Genomic DNA, 21,124 nt, shown 5'->3' on the forward strand with positions numbered 1-21,124 from the left:
CCCCTGGACATTTGCTTGCATGACAGTTTTCAAATATCCTTGGAAACTAGGTCTAAGCATGCTTTAATCCATTATCAGGAAGAAGGCCTCTGCTTGCACGGGTTTGGCTCATTTCTCTTCCCAGTCTTGTTCAGGAGGCAAAAGAAGAAACAAGCACTATGAGATACTGACTATACAAAAGAATCCTCTTATACATGCATTCTTACAGTAATGATGCTCTCCTCATTAAATGAATATTTATTGAACAACCACCAAGAACAAATTACTGTCAACTTTCCATTTGTGTCTGTCCTTTCTCCCTTATTTCGAATCTAAGCATTATCCTAGATTTAATGGAAAGCACATTTGGTATACGGATCAGCATATGTGGGTCTTATAGTCAATAAGAGGTAGAAATGGCAGACTTAAAGCAAGTCACTAAATCTGAGTCTAATTTACTTACTTGCTTTACCCACTTCACTGTACCATCATGGAGAACCAATTGGGAACAAAGATATACAATACTACTATATAACATATGAAAATCTCATGCAAACTTTAAGAAACCTGAAAGATAATTGTGAACTAAATGTACCAACACATTAGGTGTCATTTCCTTTAACCTCAATCTGTGTTACCAGCATGATGTTTGTTTTTCTTTTTACAGAGACCACTACATTCATAAAACCCATTGAAATCAAACACAATTACTTTAAACATCACCATAAAGAAATTGTTTCATCATCTTAGAACGAGACTATTAAATGCTGTATATTATACTTGGAACTGACAAATTCATAAGAAAATAAATGGGGTAATATGGAATTATTTAAAAAAAAAAAGAAGGTTTCTAGGCATTTGCTGGAATTCAATCCTTTGGAAGTTGAATTACCTTGAACCACAGCCCACAATGTAAATAATTTCTCATCTCCATTTTTGCCAAGATAATACAAGATTAATGATCTCTCATGTTCCTATGAAGACTTTAGAATTTCCACATATTTCATTATGTGTGTATATATGGAGAGAAGCCTACTTGAGACAGAAAAGAGAATTCCCTTCAGAACAAAATTTATATTTCAGAGTAGAGACATTGTGAGTCAAGGCAGCTATTTTTGTGGTACTTCCAGACTCTACACATTTATCTCTTTAATTTGGAAAGAAAGCAACATTTTCTTTCCAACTTAGACAGTATATGTCACACAAATTCACACACAAACACTCATATATTGCAACATATAGAAATAAGAGAGAATGAAGAGAGAGAATATGTGTGTGTCTATGTGAAAGAGAAAAAGAGAAAATGAATGCACGGGGGAAAAATATTAGAGAATTTTGCTTCCTTCAAGGATTCAAGAGAAATATTTTTGGAACCTTCAGTAGCCCACAATCATAAACAGTAAATTAAAAACTAAAAAGAAAAAGAAATTGAATGAAGCTCTCACAAGTTTACCTTTGTGATAGCTGAAAAATTGCACATAAGGGAAAACATGTATTAGCGGTTGCTGTGTGCAAATCACTCCTGCAAATACCATACCAAAGATGTATGAGTAATGGTCCTGTCTTCACAGAACTGACCATCTAGACAAATATTAGAAGAGTTTGAACATCTCTTTGAATACTTATTTTGTGTCTGGCTGTTAAGTGTTAGAGAAGGATAGAAAATTGAGTAATAAATTCCATTTTCTATCCCTGCTAAAGGCATCCTTAATAAGATGGCCAAGAGGTACCTTGTGTAAGTTATGACCAAATAGAAGAAGTACTTTGGATTTCTTTGCCTGCCTTAAGGTATTTTAACATAGCTTCACAGGCTTTAGTCTGATGTGAGTGAATGAGAAATGAATGAAGTCATACCTACCTTAAAAGTGGTTGTTATCTTGAAAAAATAATTCATGTATTTAGTATGCAATGGTGTGCTCCACCTGGAGCTATAGCACCATGATTTTGTTCTATGAGAAGGGTTATGGTAAGAATGGATAGAGTCAAAGCTCAGCCTGACTGCATATTTGCTATAAGACTCTCAAGACAGTTAGTAAAAGCAAAACAAAACAAAAACTTCCTCATAGACTTTTTGTAGAAATCAAATCAGATGAAACTGCCCAGTGTAGTGTTGGTCCGTAGTAGGAGTAATGATGATGATAATGATGTTGATAATAATAATATAGATTTACTGAACACCTACTTTATGCAAGACACTAGCCTGGGTATTTTACATATGATATTATTATTTATGGACTAACATTTATTGAATATCTGCTAGGTGTCATTTGCTGCAGGCACATTAGTTCTCTAAATAACAGTTAAAAATCATTTTACAAATAATCAGTAGGATGTGCAGAGAAGGAAATTTACACAGTCGAATTTGCATGTTTAATGAGTGGCCTCCATGATCCACAATTCACTCTCCAGACCACATGCTGTCTGCTGCCCCACGTGAGTTTCCATTTAACGCACCATGTTAAGCAATAAATTCTATTTTACAACAGGCTATTTTAAGCTATTACTTGAAGATTTGATCCCTTCTATCTGAGTAAGATTCACTTATTTGCCCCCATGTCCTGCCTAAATTTATAATGCCAGGAAAAAATAAAAGATGTGAATCTTATATTTCATTGTCTAAATCCCACACAAATTAGTTTCCTCGAAGGTAGGCTGACTGCTAAGTTATTATTCTCATGCTTTCCATTATGCTCTTACCTCTGATGACAACAATTTAAAAAAAATTTACTTATATTGAATCATCAAGTAAAAGAATGTTCTTGTTTAAAGTGACTTCCTCTTAAATAGCAAGGAGAAATTTGGATAGCTAAAGAAAAACAAATGAGAAAGGCCATGAACACTTTCTCAATTAAACAGCTAGCACTTTCTTCATTTCTGAATCAATTTGGTTCATGTAGAAAGACTGAAGACACATATCATGTAAAATAAATTCCCTATTTGTCACATTTCAGGAATCAGCAGCCTTGCCACTCTGGAAGGCAATGCAGATCCGGTTGACATTCCAACACCAAAATAGTCATGTAAGACCCTGAAATTGGCTTCAACACTGGGTTCCATGAATGCTATGATTTGCACCTGTTCCCTGTCATCATCCTCACAAACTGCTCTGTGCCCTGGTCTTGGCTGAACCTCTTTCAGCCCACCTGACCTTTCGGCAGGAAGTTCTTTTGCCTTTTTCCTAACTGCAATTGAAATCTTCAGAGAGAACGTTTCTCATTTTCTTAGTTCTACCCTCCTTTCATCTACTACATATTTGCTGAGATGTCTGCCATGCATCCAGCCAGTCCTGTGATAGGCCCCGAAAAACAACAAGGAACAATATAAGCACAAGTTTCACCTACAGAGACCTTATGGGAGAGTAGAAATAGCAATACAGTAATTAATCAATCAATTAATTGTATGAAGGAAAATCCAGAAGAATATGAGGTTTTTTGGGTTTTTTTTGTTCTGGTTTGGTTTGTTTTTTTTTGAGACAGAGTCTTGCTCTGTCACCCAGGCTGGAGTGCAGTGGTGCCATCTCGGCTCACTGCAACCTCTGCCTTCTGGGTTCAAGCGATTATCCTGCCTCAGCCTCCTGAGTAGCTGGGACTACAGGCGCCCACCACCACGCCCTGCTAATTTTTGTATTTTTAGTAGAGACAGGGTTTCACCATATTGGCCAGGCTGGTCTTGAACTCCTGACCTTGTGATCTGCCTGCCTTGGCATCCCAAAGTGCTGGTATTATAGGTGTAAGCCACCGTGCCCGGCCATATAATATGAAGTTTTAACCGACCTGGAGTAAGCAATGATAATCTGAAGCTGGAAGGGTAAATAAAAGTTAGAGTTGTCTAGGCAACGTCAGTTGCATATGTGGAGGTTCTGAAGCCTTCACACTCGAAAGACAGAAAGCAAATCTATGAGGCAGTGATAAGATGTGAAGATGTTGGCATGATTTATTCATGCTGAGCATTATTGGCCATGTTGTGAATTTTGAACTATATCCAGAAAGCAATGGAGAAACACTGAAGCTCATTAAGCTGGAACTTGTCATGATCAAAAAGACCAGTATGGAGAGTGGACAGAGGTCCAAGTGAAATAAAATAGTTTTTAGCCCTAGGATGGTGAGAAATGACTTCACAGTTGAGAAGTAGAAGATGGCTTGTATTTATTATAAAATGACTCAGATCCACACACATTTATTTCTAAGAGCAACAGGAAGGTGTTGATGGAGATGCCATGTTCAAAACCATGTTTTGAAAATGCCATTCTTGCTACTGTGGAACCAGAGGTGAGTGGATCAAGAAAGACCAGACCTGTGACATGCTTTGAATCAATAACATTCAGCAAGAGGCCAGGTTTAATGTAATTGTGTGGACATGATCACGTTACATGAGATTGTGTCCATCACACCAGAGACTCTCTCTCTTGCTGACTGTGAAGAAGGAAGTTTTCTTATTCTGAGCTGCCAGATGGAAAGGCCATGAAGCAACGTGTGTAGATCGGCCACTCAACACAGTAAACAAAGGAACCGAGACCCTCAGTCCAACCATCTACCAAGATCTGAATGCTGCCAACAGCCAGGAGACCTTAAAACTGGATTCTTGCCCAGTCGAGTCCCAGATGAGACCTCGTCCCTGGATGAAACCTTGATTGCAGCCCATGAGAGGCTGAAGCAGAAGATCTACAGACCTTCTGAATGGATTCCTAACCTACATAACTATGAGATAATAAGTGTGTGTTGTTAACATCCATAAAGTTTGTGGTGACATTGCTACACAGCAATAAACAACTGATATATTCAGTTTTAAATGTGCTGATTGCTGTACAGTTACCTCAATCTCATATGTCCATGTCACATAAGCTGTTTGAGGTGTCGGCCTGGAACTCAGAGGAAAAGTCAGAAATGAGATGTTAATTTTGGAGAGTGAATTAAAAAATAATAATGAAAGAGAGGGTAGGGGTTGTGGAAATAAAGGATAAAGATATTGCCTACAGTAAAGGTAATAGAATAATCAATCCTTTGTTTTAAACAGACTAACTAGCTTAATTCTGAAAATTCATCCTAAGCAAACATATCAGAAAAGAAGATGCGCACTGATGTTTATTAATGCTCAGGGAATTCAGAAGCAGCATACTGACTAAGGTAAATCAGGATAAACTATGACACATAGTGAATGCCTCAGAGCCAGGCAAAACTGACATTTATTGAAATATCACATGCCAAGCACAGCATTTTATCCTTTCACATAATTTTTCTTTTAAAATCTCATTTTAAAGAAAAAGAAACTCAGTTTCAGAGAGGTAAATTCCTTCTCGTGGTTACCTAGTAGTTAGGCAAAGATCCACAATTGTAACCCCTTCTGGCTTCAAAGCCGGAGCTTTTAACTTTGAACGCTTCAAGGAAGCATCAAATCAGACACTGGGGAGCACATTTCTATATTCTCTAAGCTGTCCTAAGCCTAATCTTGGATCCCAGGTATCTAAGCATTTCCCCCTTTAAATTGGCTTCTTTAGTAATAGAAGCTCTGTAGAACTTAAAGCACTATCGAGTTATCTAATAATTCAGGCAAAATCTTAGAATTAATCAAGAATATATTTTCTATTCAAAGCAAATGCCGTGTCTAATATGGCAGAATGTCTCTTCAAACCCCAATATAGCTCTTGTCTCTGAGGCTGTAGAAGAAAACTGCCTTTCTAACCATTGCCAAAAGCACAGCAATAACTACTTTAATCATGATATCTTGAAATAGCTTCTGATCAAATGTGTTTTACTCGATGGATATAATGTAAAAGCTCCCATCCAATATTTAAAATAATCATACACGTTTCCATGCATTTGCCTGCTTGCTCGTTTGAATATCTTGCCAATTGTTTATGAGTACTGAATTGCTTAGATCTAGGAATAAAGAGATGATGTTGAAATGTTTTCCATTTTGCAGATATCCCTCTTTTAGCTATGAAGAAGAGCCCCCGCAGTTGTGTTGACACATCTCTGTTCTACTCACATGGCTTGACTTTCGAGCAGGAGACACTTTGTGCCTACTTCTCAACAGTTCCAAAAATTTTGAGAAATGTCTGCAGGTGCCACAAAAAAGAATGAGATCTTGTCCTTTGTAGAAACATGGATGGAACTGGAGGCCATTATCCTTGGCAAACAAATGTAAGAACAGTAAACCAAATACCGCATATTCTCACTTATAAGTGGGAGCTAGATAATGAGAGCACATGAACACATAGATGGGACCAACACACACTGGGGCCTATTGGAGGGTGAAGGGTGGGAAGAAGGAGAGGCTTGGGAATAAGAAGTCATGGATACTAGGCTTAATACCTGGGTGATGAAATAATCTGTACAACCAACCCCCATGCCACACATTTACCTATGTAACAAACCTGCACATCTTGCACATGTACCCCTGAACTTAAAATAAAATAAGCTGGAAAAAAGAAGTAGTTGCAGGTGCTCTGAGTCATAAGAAAACAAGAAACTTTAATTGATATTCTGCCATGTAAATCTTAAGCAAGCACTGTCCTAGGTGATACCTCCAGACATCCCTGGGGAATTCAGATCATCATCATTTCTGTTATGATGGTCCTTCACATTCTGGGTAAGCCTCAAGGTTGCAAGTTATCCTCCCTGCCAGGCTTTGTGCTCCTTGGAGGCAGGTATGGTTAAGAAAGAATATTTAGAGTATGTATCCTTGACTGGTATATACCAAAACGTAAACATGCATTTTGTATAGCATGTTGCCCACCAAAACAAGAGAAACATACCAGCAGGGCACTCTAGGTATGCAAGCAATCAATATTAATCAGCTTTAAATTTGTAGTGAGATTTTTATCCATTTCACTCCCCTTTTAACTTTTCTGATTAGACTGAAGATAATATATCAATTTTATTATAGTACTGTATGTGTTTAACACCTTTCTGATACATGCTAATACCCCTTTATATAGCAAACAACAAGCAGGCTTGGGGATACGACTTAAGCAGGCAACATTGTCTATAAAAAAGTTAATGATACTTATATATTAACATATATTTTACATTTTATTTCATTTTTTAATCTGGCCTTTGTTTCTACTTATGGCAAGTGATACTAATAGTGAGATAAAGTTTCTTTTTTAAATCAAAATTCATATGAATAAAAACAAGTATAGCAGTTTTTCTTTTATATGACATATCCCATGTAGGTTAATGGCATACTTGATAGCAGACCAAAATACTAGAGGTGAATCTCAAAGAACTAAGAGGTGGATTCAATGCTCTGACCAAGGAAAGTAGCAGGGATTTACAACAAGACCTCGAGAGAGTGAACTCTTAAGCACAAAGTCTTTCTATCTGCAAAGACAGCTTTTATCTATGAGACTTCACTATCTGTTATTGCAGGTATTCAATAAATTTTATTAAATGTATTTGATGAGAACAATTAGAGAAAATATAGAAATGAGAGTTGAAAAAACATGAAACAAGATAAGAAGCAGAACAGTAAACAGTAGAAGGTTTTTTTTTAAATAAATGTAGTTTTAAAAAGTGAATTTCTGTTAGAAAAAAAAGGAAAGTGTGATTAAAATGGGTTAGACACCTCTGAAATATCCCACTGGTGTGGGTTTTCTGTTGGTTTAACTAAGAGATAATGTTGGTCATACGCTTGAAAAACAGCCTTAACTTGAAAGTTCCCACTTAGCTGCCTTGAGCTAGGTACAACTGACCTTTGAGCAACACAGATTTGATTTATATGCAGGGTCCACTTACGTGTGGATTCTGTTCAGCCTCTGCCATCCCTGAGACAGCAAGACCAACTCCTTCTCTTCCTCCTCCTTCTCAGCCTACTCAACATGAAGATAATGAGGATGAAGCACTTTATAATGGTCAACTTCCACGTGATGAATAGTAAGTATATTTTACCTTTCTTATGATTTTTTTTTTTTTTTTGGAGAGGGAGTCTCGCTCTATTGCCCAGGCTGAAGAGCAGTGGCGTGATCTCGGCTCATTGCAACCTCTGCCTCCTGGGTTCAAGTGATTCTCCTGCCTCAGCCTCCCAAGTAGCTGGGACGACAGCTCTGTGCCACCACACCCGGCTAATTTTTGTATTTTTAGTAGAGACAGGGTTTCACCATGTTGGCCAGGCTGGTCTTGAACTCCTGACCTCAGGTGATCCGCCCGCCTCAGCATCCCAAAGTGCTGGGATTACAGGCGTGAGCCACTGCACTTGGACCCTTATGATTTTCTTGACAACATTGCCTTCTATTTAGCTTACTTTATTGTAAGAATGTAGTACAGAATACACACAACATAAAAAACCATGTGTCAATTAACTGCTTATGTTATTGATAAGACTTCTGGTCAACAGTAGGCTATTGGTAGTTAAGTTTTTAGGAAGTCAAAAACTATACATGGAATTCAACTCTGCAAGGGGTTATAACCCTAACCCCTGCATTGTTCAAGGGCCAACTGTATGTAAGGAAAGGCCACCCAAAATAACACATATATTTTTAAAGTCACCTTCCAGAACCAGAAGGAAAAAAAAGGAGGGATGGTAGAGAGGATCAACAAGATAAACGAATATAAGAATGAATATATTCATTGATTCATTTAAATGTCCTGTAATTTTGGTAGACTTAATTTCAAGCCTGTCTGGGGTGTTGAAATAAATAAATCATGCATTGTGTATGAGCCAATTAATGACTACAAAGCAGACAAAACATATCTATGCTGTTAGAAGTCAGGATATCAGTTAATCATGTGACTGGAAGGGGACACAGAATGAGTTTTGTGGGGATGGTGCTATTGTGAATTTTTATTTGGGTGCTGGGTATACAAACCTGTTCAGCTTATGCTGTTATAGATATATGCATTTTACTGTATGGCTATTAAACTTGAATGCAGAATTTAAAAATATGTACGCGGAACAAAAAGAAAATGTAGAAAAGCCTGAACACAAGAATTACTATCTATGTTCATGAGAAATCTAGGTTACTAATGTTCTTAGTGCTAGATTCACATCACATGGTCTCACTTGCTTCGCTGACAGCCTCCCCAAAAAAGGCTTTCACAAGGCACTTAAATAGTGTTTATCAGAACTGTGAGTTGCTGTCAGAGCAGCTCTTAAGACGGATACTGGTATTTCTCCTTTCATTTAAGTTTGACATTGTAACGTGTTACATATACATAAACGTGTGGGAATTGTTTGATATTATTTCATTATCACCTAATGGTAACAGCAGCTCTAATAATTACACAGGAATAGCAATCCAAAAAAAAAAAAAAAAGGAATCTTAGGGTGATTGTCATTATTCCGATTATTCTGTCAAGGTGAGAAAAAGGACAATAAAGACATGCTCGGGAAAGGATTTTGCCCTTTGTTTTCAGTCTCGATCATCTAGTTTTCTTTAACAGTAATTTCAAAAAGAACAAAGCATGGAAGACTGTAGGTTATCTTACATCCATTAATAGGATCTGTGAATATAAATGGATGGAAGAGTGACATTGCAGTCAGCACAGAGTCTTTTTTCTTACTGAACTGAGAATATTCCTTCTCTGGTTCTATCTCCCAGTTCAAGGAGACGCATGATCCTTTCATAAGCCCAGTAGAAGGGGATATCCCACCCTCTACCCTGGTTCTAACTTTCCCAAGGATTTAACGTTTCAGCTCATTGCTTTTATCTGTGCAGCAGTCGATGGCAGACGAAGAAAAAACTTTCGAGTTTGTTCATATTATAGTTTGAAGATATCTACTACCTAGTTCTGATATTCACACCATGCCTTACCCTAAGGAGCCAAGATCTTTCACAAGGCAGACACAAGAGTGATAGTCTATTTTTAAGGCCCATATAATAATAAAAAAAAACTGCATATAATCTGTGTGGATATAAATATTTGTTATCTTTACACACTGTTTACATAGCCAGGAAGAAAGATGCTTTTATATCCTCTTACAGACCAAAGTTCTTTTGAATCCCCCTGGTCACTGTCATCACTGCCACCCAAGGCATCCAGCAGACTACTTTATATTTCTCAGGAAATGTTTGTTTTTAAGAAACATAATACATCTCTCCATTTTATTGAGTTGTCTTCTATAGATAGATGGAAGTATCATCGAAGCCAGAGATGGGAAGTGCCTAAAGATCAGTATGTTTGTAGAACCAGAGACTAAGCAAACCAACAAGAAGTTTCACAGTCTCTCACTTTTTCTTGTCTTGGTTGCCTGCTCCATTTCCACCCACCTCTGCGGGTCCTGGCTTTACCCTTTTACTTTAATAAAGGATCATGCTTGCCTAATGGTTCCCAAGTTCACATATGTTTATGTTGAGCTACTTGGAAAGGTACTGTTTCCACATCCTCCTAGTTTTCCTGGCAAATACCTGCGGTTGAGACTAATTCAACTAGATTTGGTGGAATGTCTGCCTGTGTCCCAGAACAGAAGCAACCTATATAAGCTAACTGCTGGTATTTCACACTGACAATAGAGTGATGCATAGTAACTAGAGAATACACACAGCATGAGTTAGGTAGCCACTCAGCGGATGTTGGACATTCACTGCAGACTTGAAACAGGTTAGAGGGTTGATGACTACACAATATTCATTCCTGTGTTCATTCCCTTTTTCACACAAACTTTCAAACAATAGGAATAAGTAGGTAACATTGGTAATGATAATTTAGTAAACAGATTGTCCATGAACAAATTTTAAAGGATAGGAGTAGGAGGACCAATTTTGAGCAGAAGAAAGGAATTAGGAATAAGTAGGTAACATTGGTAATGATAATTTAGTAAACAGATTGTCCATGAACACATTTTAAAGGATAGGAGTAGGAGGACCAATTTTGAGCAGAAGAAAGGAAAGATAACACCCAGTCTCAGGTGTTATTCTTTATAGCAGTGTGAAAACACACTAATACAGCTGCCATAACAAAATTCCCACAGACCGGGTGGCTTAAACAGCAGAAATTTATTTTCTCACAGTTCTGAAAGCTGGAAGTCCAAGGTCAAGATGCTGGCAGACTTAACTTCTTCTGAGCCTTCTCTCTCTGGCTTGCAGATGGCTTCCCTCTTGCTGCCTTCTCATGTGCTTGTTCATCTGCGCACTTGTGCCCCTGATGTCTCTTTGTGTGTCCGGATTTCCTCTTCATGTAAGGACACCATTCAGACAGCATTAGGACCCACCATGTGACCCCATTTAACCTTCATTACCTCCTTAAAAGTCCCATCTCCAAATGCAATCACAGTCTGAGATACTAAGAGTTATGGATTCAACATATGAATTTGTGGGGAACACAATTCTGATCCCATCACAAACCCACTGTATTTACATTTTTTACTGTAAAAAATGTGTTAATACTTGACTGATATTATAATCTTTATATAATATATAATGTACAACAATCATGCTTGACATATATAATGCCCCCTTCTAAAAATCTACACAGTGTTTTACATGTACCTAGCCTAGAGCAGAAACTAAGTAAACTGTATCTGCTGTGGCTTCATTCTCTATCAATTAAGCTAAACTGAAATTCTGTTTCTAGAACTCCCTTCTCTATATTGCCCTAGTTACTTCTGGCATGAGACGTTGGAAGCAGAAGTGAAGAAGGCAGACAGGAAGTGAGAGCAAGACATCAGGCACTGGGCTCTTGCATGATTCAGCAGATCTGCAAGCTCACCATGTTGGCATGCAGCAACATCCAGGCTCACAGCTCCTCCGGCTTCTTAGGATTTGCACCTTCAGGTTCGCGGAGTCCTAGGCCAGATAAATGTGACTCTCTGTGACAAAGGGCACCAGTTCTCCTGCAGACTACTCAAGGCATGGGAATTTGAAGTATGAGAGACAGATATAGATAGGCTCCACTTTGTCCCCATGGGTTCTAGTTGGTCCTCTGGGATTCCAGTGTATTCCTGGTCTTTCCCACCTCATGTCCAGCTTTTTTCCCATCCCCAGAAGCAGAAGCAACAGCTTTGCACAGATTTCTCTCTCTGCTTCATGACGTATAAGGTCTAATCCCTATAATAACTCTTTTGTTATGTATGTAAGACTGTTACTGGTTCTGACTTTCTGATGGGGAGCCCCTATTCTCATCTGTGATAAGATCATGAGTAAACTACTTTATGATCATATGACTTACTTTTCTCATTTGTAAAATAAGAATAATAAAATTCACCTCCTAAGGTTGTTGGTAGATTGAATGTGTCTGTAGAATGCTTAGGATAGCATTTTGCACATTTATTAAATATTAATCCCTATGTAATATTAAATTAATTAGTCATTATGTTAACCTTAAGCTGATAACATCACTTTGGATTTCAGAAGGAATAATGTACAGACATTTCAAGACTTGCTTCAAAAAGTGTTAACTTTACTTTGTGAACGTCCTCCCACTACTGCTCCATCCCCAATGTATTTCCTGAACTCAAACCACTCTTGTTACTTGCCAAGATTCATAATTGATAGACAATGATGAGATCTGTAAAGTCTGACATGGTTATAAAGAGAAGACTCCTTGAGTCATGCTCCCTGACAAAAGGAAAATGAATGAAATCAGCTGCAACAGTAGCACAAATATGATTAGAATTACTATAAACTCTTTGAGCACAGACACAAGGGATGAAAACTGATTCCCTTAGGATGGGGATGTATATGAGATTATGTGTTCCATGTGATCCCAGGTGATACATAGCTATATATTTTCACCTGCAGCCTCATGTTGTAAATATCTGTTGTCTTTTGTCATGAGGTCTAATAACATATCAAATGCATATATACAAATATATATATACATGTGAAATTACTGGTGGGGAGAATAGAAAAAATTCCATTAAATTCATAAATCTATGATTGCTAATTAGCCAAAGAATAAGTGCATTTGGGTCTAAAAATCAAATGGCAAACTTCAAAGTCCAGTGAATCCAGAAAGTATAATTATTAAGCCCATGACACATGAATGTCAAAGTTAAAGAAATAATAACACATGGATACAAGGAGACTCGAGGAAATCCCCACTACCCATGAGAGGCAAAGTTCTGAGGAAGCGAGGCATACACCAGAAATATATTGACAAAGGTGTCCCACATTCATTTTCAGGCAAGTCTTCAGAATTTCACAAATATGTGTTTCGGAGCTGCCCTGACATGCAGTTAATTCATTTCTCTGACCAGCAAATGCGGACAAAGGCTGAACTCTGTGAGGTTTACTCCCCAGCCCCTTTTAATATATGCTTTCCTGGAATGGTTATGTAATAACAATTTATACTATGGGTGTTCATTCTAATTTACAGAACTCTAGACACACATGTGGCTTGAATAAACAGGAAGATTTGCCTTTTTATCTTCTGGAATCAACAAATATGTTGAATCCTGAAATATTAATTCCCATCTGAGGGCAAAAAGAGGCAAGAAAGAAAACAGGATCATGGGGTTGTCTGTGTAGACTCCTACCTGCTTTCCTCAATCCTCTACCTGTAATACAAAGTTTTTCCTAAGTGTTTTGATTTTTCTTATGATAAGTGCAGATTGACTGATTTGAAAACACTTTTCAATATTTCAAGTACCAGAACATTACTTGAATAGAAAGTGGTTGATGTCTTATTTTCTTCAGAAGGGCTCAGAGAAGGCTCGGTTGAAATGCTGACCATAAAATATATCTCTGAGAACAGAAGAGTAGGGTGCAGTTTTTAGAGAGGAAAACCAATGTATTTAGAAATAGCAAGAGCCAAGATGTGAGTGAGTAGAAAATGTATTTCTAAAGAACATAAAGAGACAATGTTAGGATAATCAAATCGAGTTTAAGATAATTCCAATTAGCAAGCACAGAGATATAACAGGAAAAAATTAAAAGGGAAATAAAACTTAAGCATTAGCTACTACTGTGAATAGGCCTGGGAGCTATTGGTTAATGGGTATATAGCTAAATTGGCTTAAAGACACTAGTTTACAAGACACAGATCAAGATACATCATCAGTGTTGCCTCTTCACTTAGACATTGTTAGTGCTGAGCCAATTCTTTAATCTTAATAAATCTGAAACACCAATTCAAATTATCAGATGCCTATGACTAAGAGATATAGGTTTCTAAATCAAATTGAGGCAACAAATCACAGTCCGCCAGGAATGACACATTGTTTACCTATGGCGGTGGGGTAAGAGGAAGAGATTGTTAAATTTTGTTCCAGTAGGTTCAAATTTCAGGCCTTTTTGTAATTCCTTCAAATATACTTTATGTAATATTCTATTATAGATAACAAAAAATGATACCAATATTATCCCTTGTGAAATCAAGTGATGTTTTTCATCACATTTTCTTGTGATTTATGTCATTCTGAGGAATTTTTATTGGATAGTGACTGAGAATTCATCTTCTAGAAATAATTCAAAGATTTTCTGCTTCCTACTTGAAATTCCTAAGTCCATAGACCAATTGTAAAAGAAGAGTGCACTGGAAACACCCAGCTTATGTTGATAATGGGACCCCAGACAGGGTGAATCTGAGACAGCTCAGACAGCCCTATAGTGAATAGTTCTATAATTTTAACTGTTTTCAAAATGACTGAAAGCGATGTTTCTATAAGACTATAATAAACTTTCCTATGCTATTCTACATTTGTTAGCATAGCTTTATATATATATTTTATACATATAATATATAAGGTTGAGGGTTGGACCACATATTTTTAAATTAAAGAGATCAGGGATGTGGAATTATCAACCTAAGATCCCAAAAACAGTTGGCAGCCCATACAGGGCAATAAAATTGGTTAATTGTATTTTTCTGTTATAAGTTAATTCCTTAATAAAATGTAATATTATAATTTAGGGAGTACAAATGAGCAAATGTTAAAACAAAATCCGATGAAGGAGCTCTCCCATCACAAAAGTTACTCAAATAAACCTTGTTCATATTGTCATCATTGTTTGCAAAGCTTGTTCTCAGACATAATGTAGAAATAACTCAATGCCTCTTGGAAGACTAATGCATTTTAGGCACCCCTAACAATTAACTGTAACCAATTTCCCCGTTTGGATAATCTGGTAATTTCTAAACCATAGACCATTTAGGGAGACCTTTGAATAGCACAAAAATTCACATATTAGAAGCCATTGCTTCACTTTCATTATAAAGTTAAAAAGAAAAAGATTCACTGATTGCATCAACTGCCTACATATCTCTAATAGAAGTTTAGCTTCTTTAAGCAGAAGAGAAACTACAGACTCCTCACCCCATTGTAGAGTTTTGGAACCACAGCTGCCTTAGTCATTCGTATCAGGTAGAACAGCTAGATTTCTTTTGAAAGTGTTTATTTCAATCCTCATGATTTCCCACCCATGTTTTCCTAAAGAATTTCAATTTTGTTCATCACGCTGAATGAAACAAGAAAAAATATAATCAAATCCATCAAGATATGCTTTTCCCGTTTCCCACTTTGCATCTCTCCTTTAAAAATAGAGAAGTGCTGCCAAATTCTTTTAAAATCTAGCCGAGAGGGAGAAAGAAAGACACAACCTATAAATTATAAAAAAGAAATGTGTTAGGTTGAAGACAGTTTGTCAGTATGTACATCCTTTGATCTTTTAAACCTATGTGACACAAATTGTTCCTTTAATAATAAAAAATATGAAAATGAGCCTCTTTAATTATTAGTTCAGAAATATTCTTTATTTTGGAGGATAAAATATGTACTGGGCAATGACAAGAATCACAAGCTAATCCATGTAACCTGTAGTCATCATAATTTACAATTCACTTTTTAGAAAGTGCAAATTTTACTATTTAGCTGCTTGCTAAATTAACATGTGGCCTTTCATAAAACCAAAAATGTATTCTCATTAGATATGTGTCTCTAGAGCTTTTGTGGAGTAAATTTCTGTAATGCCTGCAGGATCCTTTTGAAAAAATAGTTACTGGGGTCATATAAATGAATATGAATTTCCAAAAGAGCATACAATATGTCTAAATCTCCCAAAGAGTATATTAGATGAATTTATCAAATTATGATATACAGTTATACTTTAGAGACTGAAATAGGAAAAGCAGTTTCACTTTCTTTAATTTGGTGTTTATCAAATACATTTATACTTTTTTTTGCACTAAACCAGTTTTGAATACAGATCAGAAAATGTTGCCACCGATCTATTCTGATATAAGAAACAGTAGAAATATACAGACAAATAAAAATACAGAGTATTATGGAGATTCCTGTCTCCATTCTTAACTTCTGCCTTCTGCCTGAACACCTTCTGCTATAAGGTGTGGCTGGGCAAGTTGGGACACCACATAACAACAGGAGGTAGAGGAAGAGTGAGACAGTAGATAAATACTTGTGGGGGGAGTAAGGCGATGGATGAGGTAGCAAATGGAGATAAGCTACTGCAAGGATAAGTGGTGAGCTAATTTATAACTATATTAAAAATAAAGAGATACATTCCTCACTGTTAAAGAAAGGGGAAAAAACCAAAATGAAGCCTGAGTTGTCATTTTAGAATGCAGTTATAGAGCTGAACTTGTAGTTTTCAATAGAGAGATACATAGTGTGTTAGTTTCCCTGGGCTGCCATGACAAATTACCAAAAATGCTGCTTACAACAACAGGAGTTTATTCTCTCAGAAGTCTGGAGTCCAAAATCAAGATGTCAGATCCAACACCAGTTCCCTCCGAAGGATCCTTCTAGGCCCCTTCCAGCTATGTGTGGCTCCTGGTTCTTCTTGGCTGTGGCAGCAAAACTCCAATCTCTGCCTCTGTCCTCAAACAACCTTCTTCCCTGTGTGAGTCTGTATCTTTCCACAGCCTTTTTAGATCGACACCGATCATTGGACTTAGGGCCCAGTCAACTCCAGTGTGACCTCAATTTAACTAATGACATCTGCTAAAACGCTGTTTCTAAATAAGGTCATACGCTAAGGTTCTGAATGGATATCAAGTTTTGGGGAACGCTATCCAACCCAGTACAGGTAGATGTGTGTGTGTGTGAGTGTGTGTGTGTGTGTGTGTGTGTGTGTACATTCTCCCAAATGTTCCTTAGTTCTGCCCTGTCCACTGAAAAGGCTTGGGAACACTGACATCCTAATAACAATGAACACAACTAATGCCCAGACTTTCATATGTAAATACAATTCTCCTTTAAACGGAACCAGATTTTTGTGTGTGTGTAAATGGCTAATTCTAGGGCTGGGCTAGAAAAAGTACAAAATGAGCCTCAAACAGCGCGTTGGGCCAAAAGGTGAGAATGCACTCAAAGAATGATGGAGGCATGTCAGTAGGACACAAAACTCAGCCCCAAGGACACATCGTGACCAAGTGTCAGATAATCTGAGCATCAGGATAAATAACTCAACCTGTTATAATTCATTAAATAAAACAGAAATCGAAAAGTCAAAGCTAATGTAAATAAATACACAAGCAAATTAATGTGAAGAGAAAATTTTCCTTGCAGAAGAATGCTAACCAATGACTGTAGATAGAATGATGGAATTAAGAAAATCACCACTTGGCAGCTCTCATAGTAATCATTAATTCAGCCAAGAAACTTCAATGGATGTTAAAATTTTGGGTTAATAGTTTCATGAGGAATAAGATACTTACATAGTCTCTAAGTATCTGTTCATAAAGTGTTAAGTGCAAAAAGAAAAAAAACTATGATGGAGATGCAGGGCAAACACTTCCTTCATGAAGTGATCAAAATTATTGTCACCAATTATGGAATAAATCAAAATCATGTACCACCTGATACAAATTAGTAAGGCATTATCTGTGATAGTCTTGTCAAAAATGCATATTCTGTATCTAATCCTAAGGAAACATCAGACAAATCTTAAGAAATTCTATAAAACAATTGTTCCACGGTCAGGTGTGAAAGTCATAAGTGAAGAAGACTGCAGAGCCCTTCCAGATTGAATAAGTCTTACGTTAGTGTGGTTCTAGATATGATACTTTTACTAAAACCCACGATATTGGGACAGCTGCAGATTATTTGATGAGGTCTGTGTATTTGATATCAATGGTGTGTCAAGATTAATTTCCTAATTTTGATGATTGTATTTTGTTGGCTTAGAATAACATTCATACAGGAAGACTTACTTAGGAGATGGGTCAAAATGTCAACAATTTACTCTCAAACAGTTCAGAAACAATACATTTGTACAACATTTGCAATTTTTCTCTAAGATTAAATTTATTCTAAATCAAAGATAACAAAATAGCACAAGAGAAATAGTATGTGTTTTCTATGAGCATTCCTCCAAAAGAGGAAAACATAGCCATATTTTACACAAGGAGAAAGACTGAAATTATTTAATAATTTTCACATTAAATTAAGAAGTCGTTGTTCAAGGAGACTTGCCCATCATATACTGACTTCTATAACCTCCTCAGTGAAACCACTTTGGAAAAGACTGAGATTTGCCTTTTTCAACTATATATTTACCTAGTAATTTTTGACCTTCTTCTGATATTTCAATTAATATTTTTTGGTGGAGCATGCATTCCTCTTTTGCATTTGCTACCAAGAAACCCAGAGTCCATTCAAGTTACTCTTGTTAGGCTTTAATATATTTAGCAGTAATTATCACATAGCTCTTCATTAATTTTATTGTTATTTGAATTTCTACGTGATGTATAGTTCTGACATTTTTAAAGTGCTCATATTCCTATATTGAAAATTATATAATACCTCCCTTAAACTTCCTATCCAATTCTCCTCTCAGTACTTCAATTTAATTTGCAAAGTAGGCTGACCTCAAGAGTTCTTCCACCTCGGAAAAACATTAACTATTATAAACATGCTGCAGAATCATAATGCTCTTATAAACAGAATTATCTAGAGATATAATCAAAGATCAGTAGAGCATACTGGTTAAGCCCATGGGAGGTAGAACCAGGTGTCTGGTTTTATATTTCAGCTCAGCCACTTAATATCTGACTTTATATTATGTAGCATTTTCCCTAATTTTCTGATTAAAAATAAAGAATAGAAAAACTAATATCGGTACTAACATAATAGTATTGTTGTGTATATTAGAAGCATTTAACACAGCCTCTGGCATATAGTAAATTCTCAATACGTATTGGTCATCATTACAGTAGCCCTGAACCTCAGAGAAAACTAAGAATACCCCAAGTGTCATGTTTTATGTATCTGTGCACACAACAATGCAATAATTTCTACCAACTTAAACACTACTCTCTTTCTCATCCCTTTATTTCAGCCTTCACTAATATGCTTTTGAGTAAAATAGGATTCATTCCAACATATGCATTTTGAAATATAAAGTTAGGTCTTGTCAAGCAATTTTTCATTAACCCATGTATTCGTATTACACAGGCAATTTATTGAATCATACTGGTAGAAGTAAGTCACAAAGGAATGGTTGTAAAGAAACTAAAGGCCAAGTAGGTAGCACGTTAAATATAATTATTGAATTCCTCCAAACACACTTTTGGGCAGGGATTATTGTATACACTATAGAGATAGAGAAAGTCAAGCTTAGATGGTTTATGCCACTTACGCAAGAAGTCAGATTTGGAGCCAAATAACCTGCAAATCTAAGTCAAAGTAAAAAAAAAAAAGTTCATTTTACTCAAACCCAGGTTTAGCGAACAATCAGGATTAAAATACACTTGACCCCAATACACAAAAACAATCCAAATATATATTTAAAATGTCTAGAACTTACTAAAGGTAGGGACATTTGCATTGAAAAACCAACTTCAGCAACGCTAGTTTGGGATCCACAGTTAAAATCAGACAAGCTCACAAGCTCATCAAGTCATGAAATTCACAGTAGAATAAAAAAGAACTGTGTCTCCAGCTTCCAAATAAGATATTTCTAAAATAATTTGGCTGCCATTTGGGCAAATATATATGTGCGTTTTGTCTTGACAGCCTGTCAACTGGAAGACAGTTCTCAAACATCACATTCATTTCAATTTAATATTGGTAAATTTCTCAATTAGAATTGTATTCTTCACTTTCTGCACAATGAAATCCCTCAGCCTTTGCTGGCATTCCTCAGGGCATACAGGTGCACGTGCTGGCATTTCTGCCACAGCGAAGGAAGAAAAATGAAAGAAGGAAGGAGGGGAGGGAAGAGACAGGCTAAGGAAGAACAGTGGTAAGAGGAAGAAAAAAGCGATGGTAGCTGACCTTCTTCCAGATATTCACCTTCATGAGAAATGAAGGGAATAATTCACACTTCGCAATGAAATAATGCAGCCGCCTCTGCTTCCTTTAACCAGAGAGGCTGTAGTCACACAGACACCAGACATCCAATGCATAAAATCGATATATAAGGAAAGGTCCAAAGGTAAGGTGGGAAACAGATTAATAAAAATAATTTTAAAGCCATAAACAACAACCAATTGTGGAACACTTATTTACTTTTTGGCATACCTTTACATTGTACTTTGTCATGCAAGTCCCACACAATGAAAGCAACATAAAAGTTATTATCCTTGCTTTATAGCTAAGGAAAATGGCAAAAATTTAACCTCCCCAAACTTCATAGTCAACCTGATAATAAGGGATAGAACCAGGGTTCAAACTCCCACCAGAAACTTCAACACATCCTCTGTGGTTTTTGGAAGATATGTCGCAGGCTAAAGATATATAATACATATATATCTTTATTATATATATAATATAATATATAAATATATATAACATACATAACTATGAATTCTATATACAACATATATATGTTAGTGTGGATTATTGAAATGTCTACTCTATTAGCAAAAACATTTTAGATGGAGAAATATATACATGTGTATGTATGTATTTACAAGTGCATAAAGGCACTTCATTACGTAGCTGATAATTTTTTTTTTTGAGACGGAGTCTCGCACTGTCTCCCAGGCTGGAGTGCAGTGGCACAATCTCCGCTCACTGCAACCTCCACCTCCCAGGTTCAAGTGAACCCCCTGCCTCAGCCTCCCGAGTAGCTGGGATTACAGGCATATGCCACCACACCCAGCTAATTTTTGTATTTTTAGTAGGGACAGGATTTCACCATGTTGGCTGCTAGTAATATATTTTAAGTCCTTTTCTTATCTGAAAATGGACTTGATGTTTGCAGATATTTCTGCAGTTTTCTTTCTTAACATATTTATAAGACACATGACTTACATACACAGAAATGAGAGCCTCTGACACACAATCAATAGATATAGGCTTGGCA

At 36.6% G+C, this 21,124-nt stretch overlaps 1 protein-coding gene across 5 annotated transcripts in view, besides 1 other annotated feature; it reads right to left on the reverse strand.

Moving 5' to 3' along the window:
• Nucleotides 1–21,124, reverse strand: part of CDH8 (cadherin 8) — a 389,189-nt gene that overhangs the window by 229,246 nt on the left and 138,819 nt on the right. The window lies entirely within an intron of this gene.
• Nucleotides 11,037–12,236: an enhancer, noted in NCBI's record as "MED14-independent group 3 enhancer chr16:61921436-61922635 (GRCh37/hg19 assembly coordinates)". NCBI's record gives its function as "activates an origin of replication core promoter dependent on BRD2, BRD4, P300/CBP and CDK7 cofactors, and independent of MED14, by STARR-seq in HCT116 cells {active_cell/tissue: HCT116}" and the evidence as "EXISTENCE:reporter gene assay evidence [ECO:0000049][PMID:35650434]".

This window comes from Homo sapiens, chromosome 16 (assembly GCF_000001405.40).
Source record: "Homo sapiens chromosome 16, GRCh38.p14 Primary Assembly".
Lineage (NCBI taxonomy): Eukaryota > Metazoa > Chordata > Mammalia > Primates > Hominidae > Homo > Homo sapiens.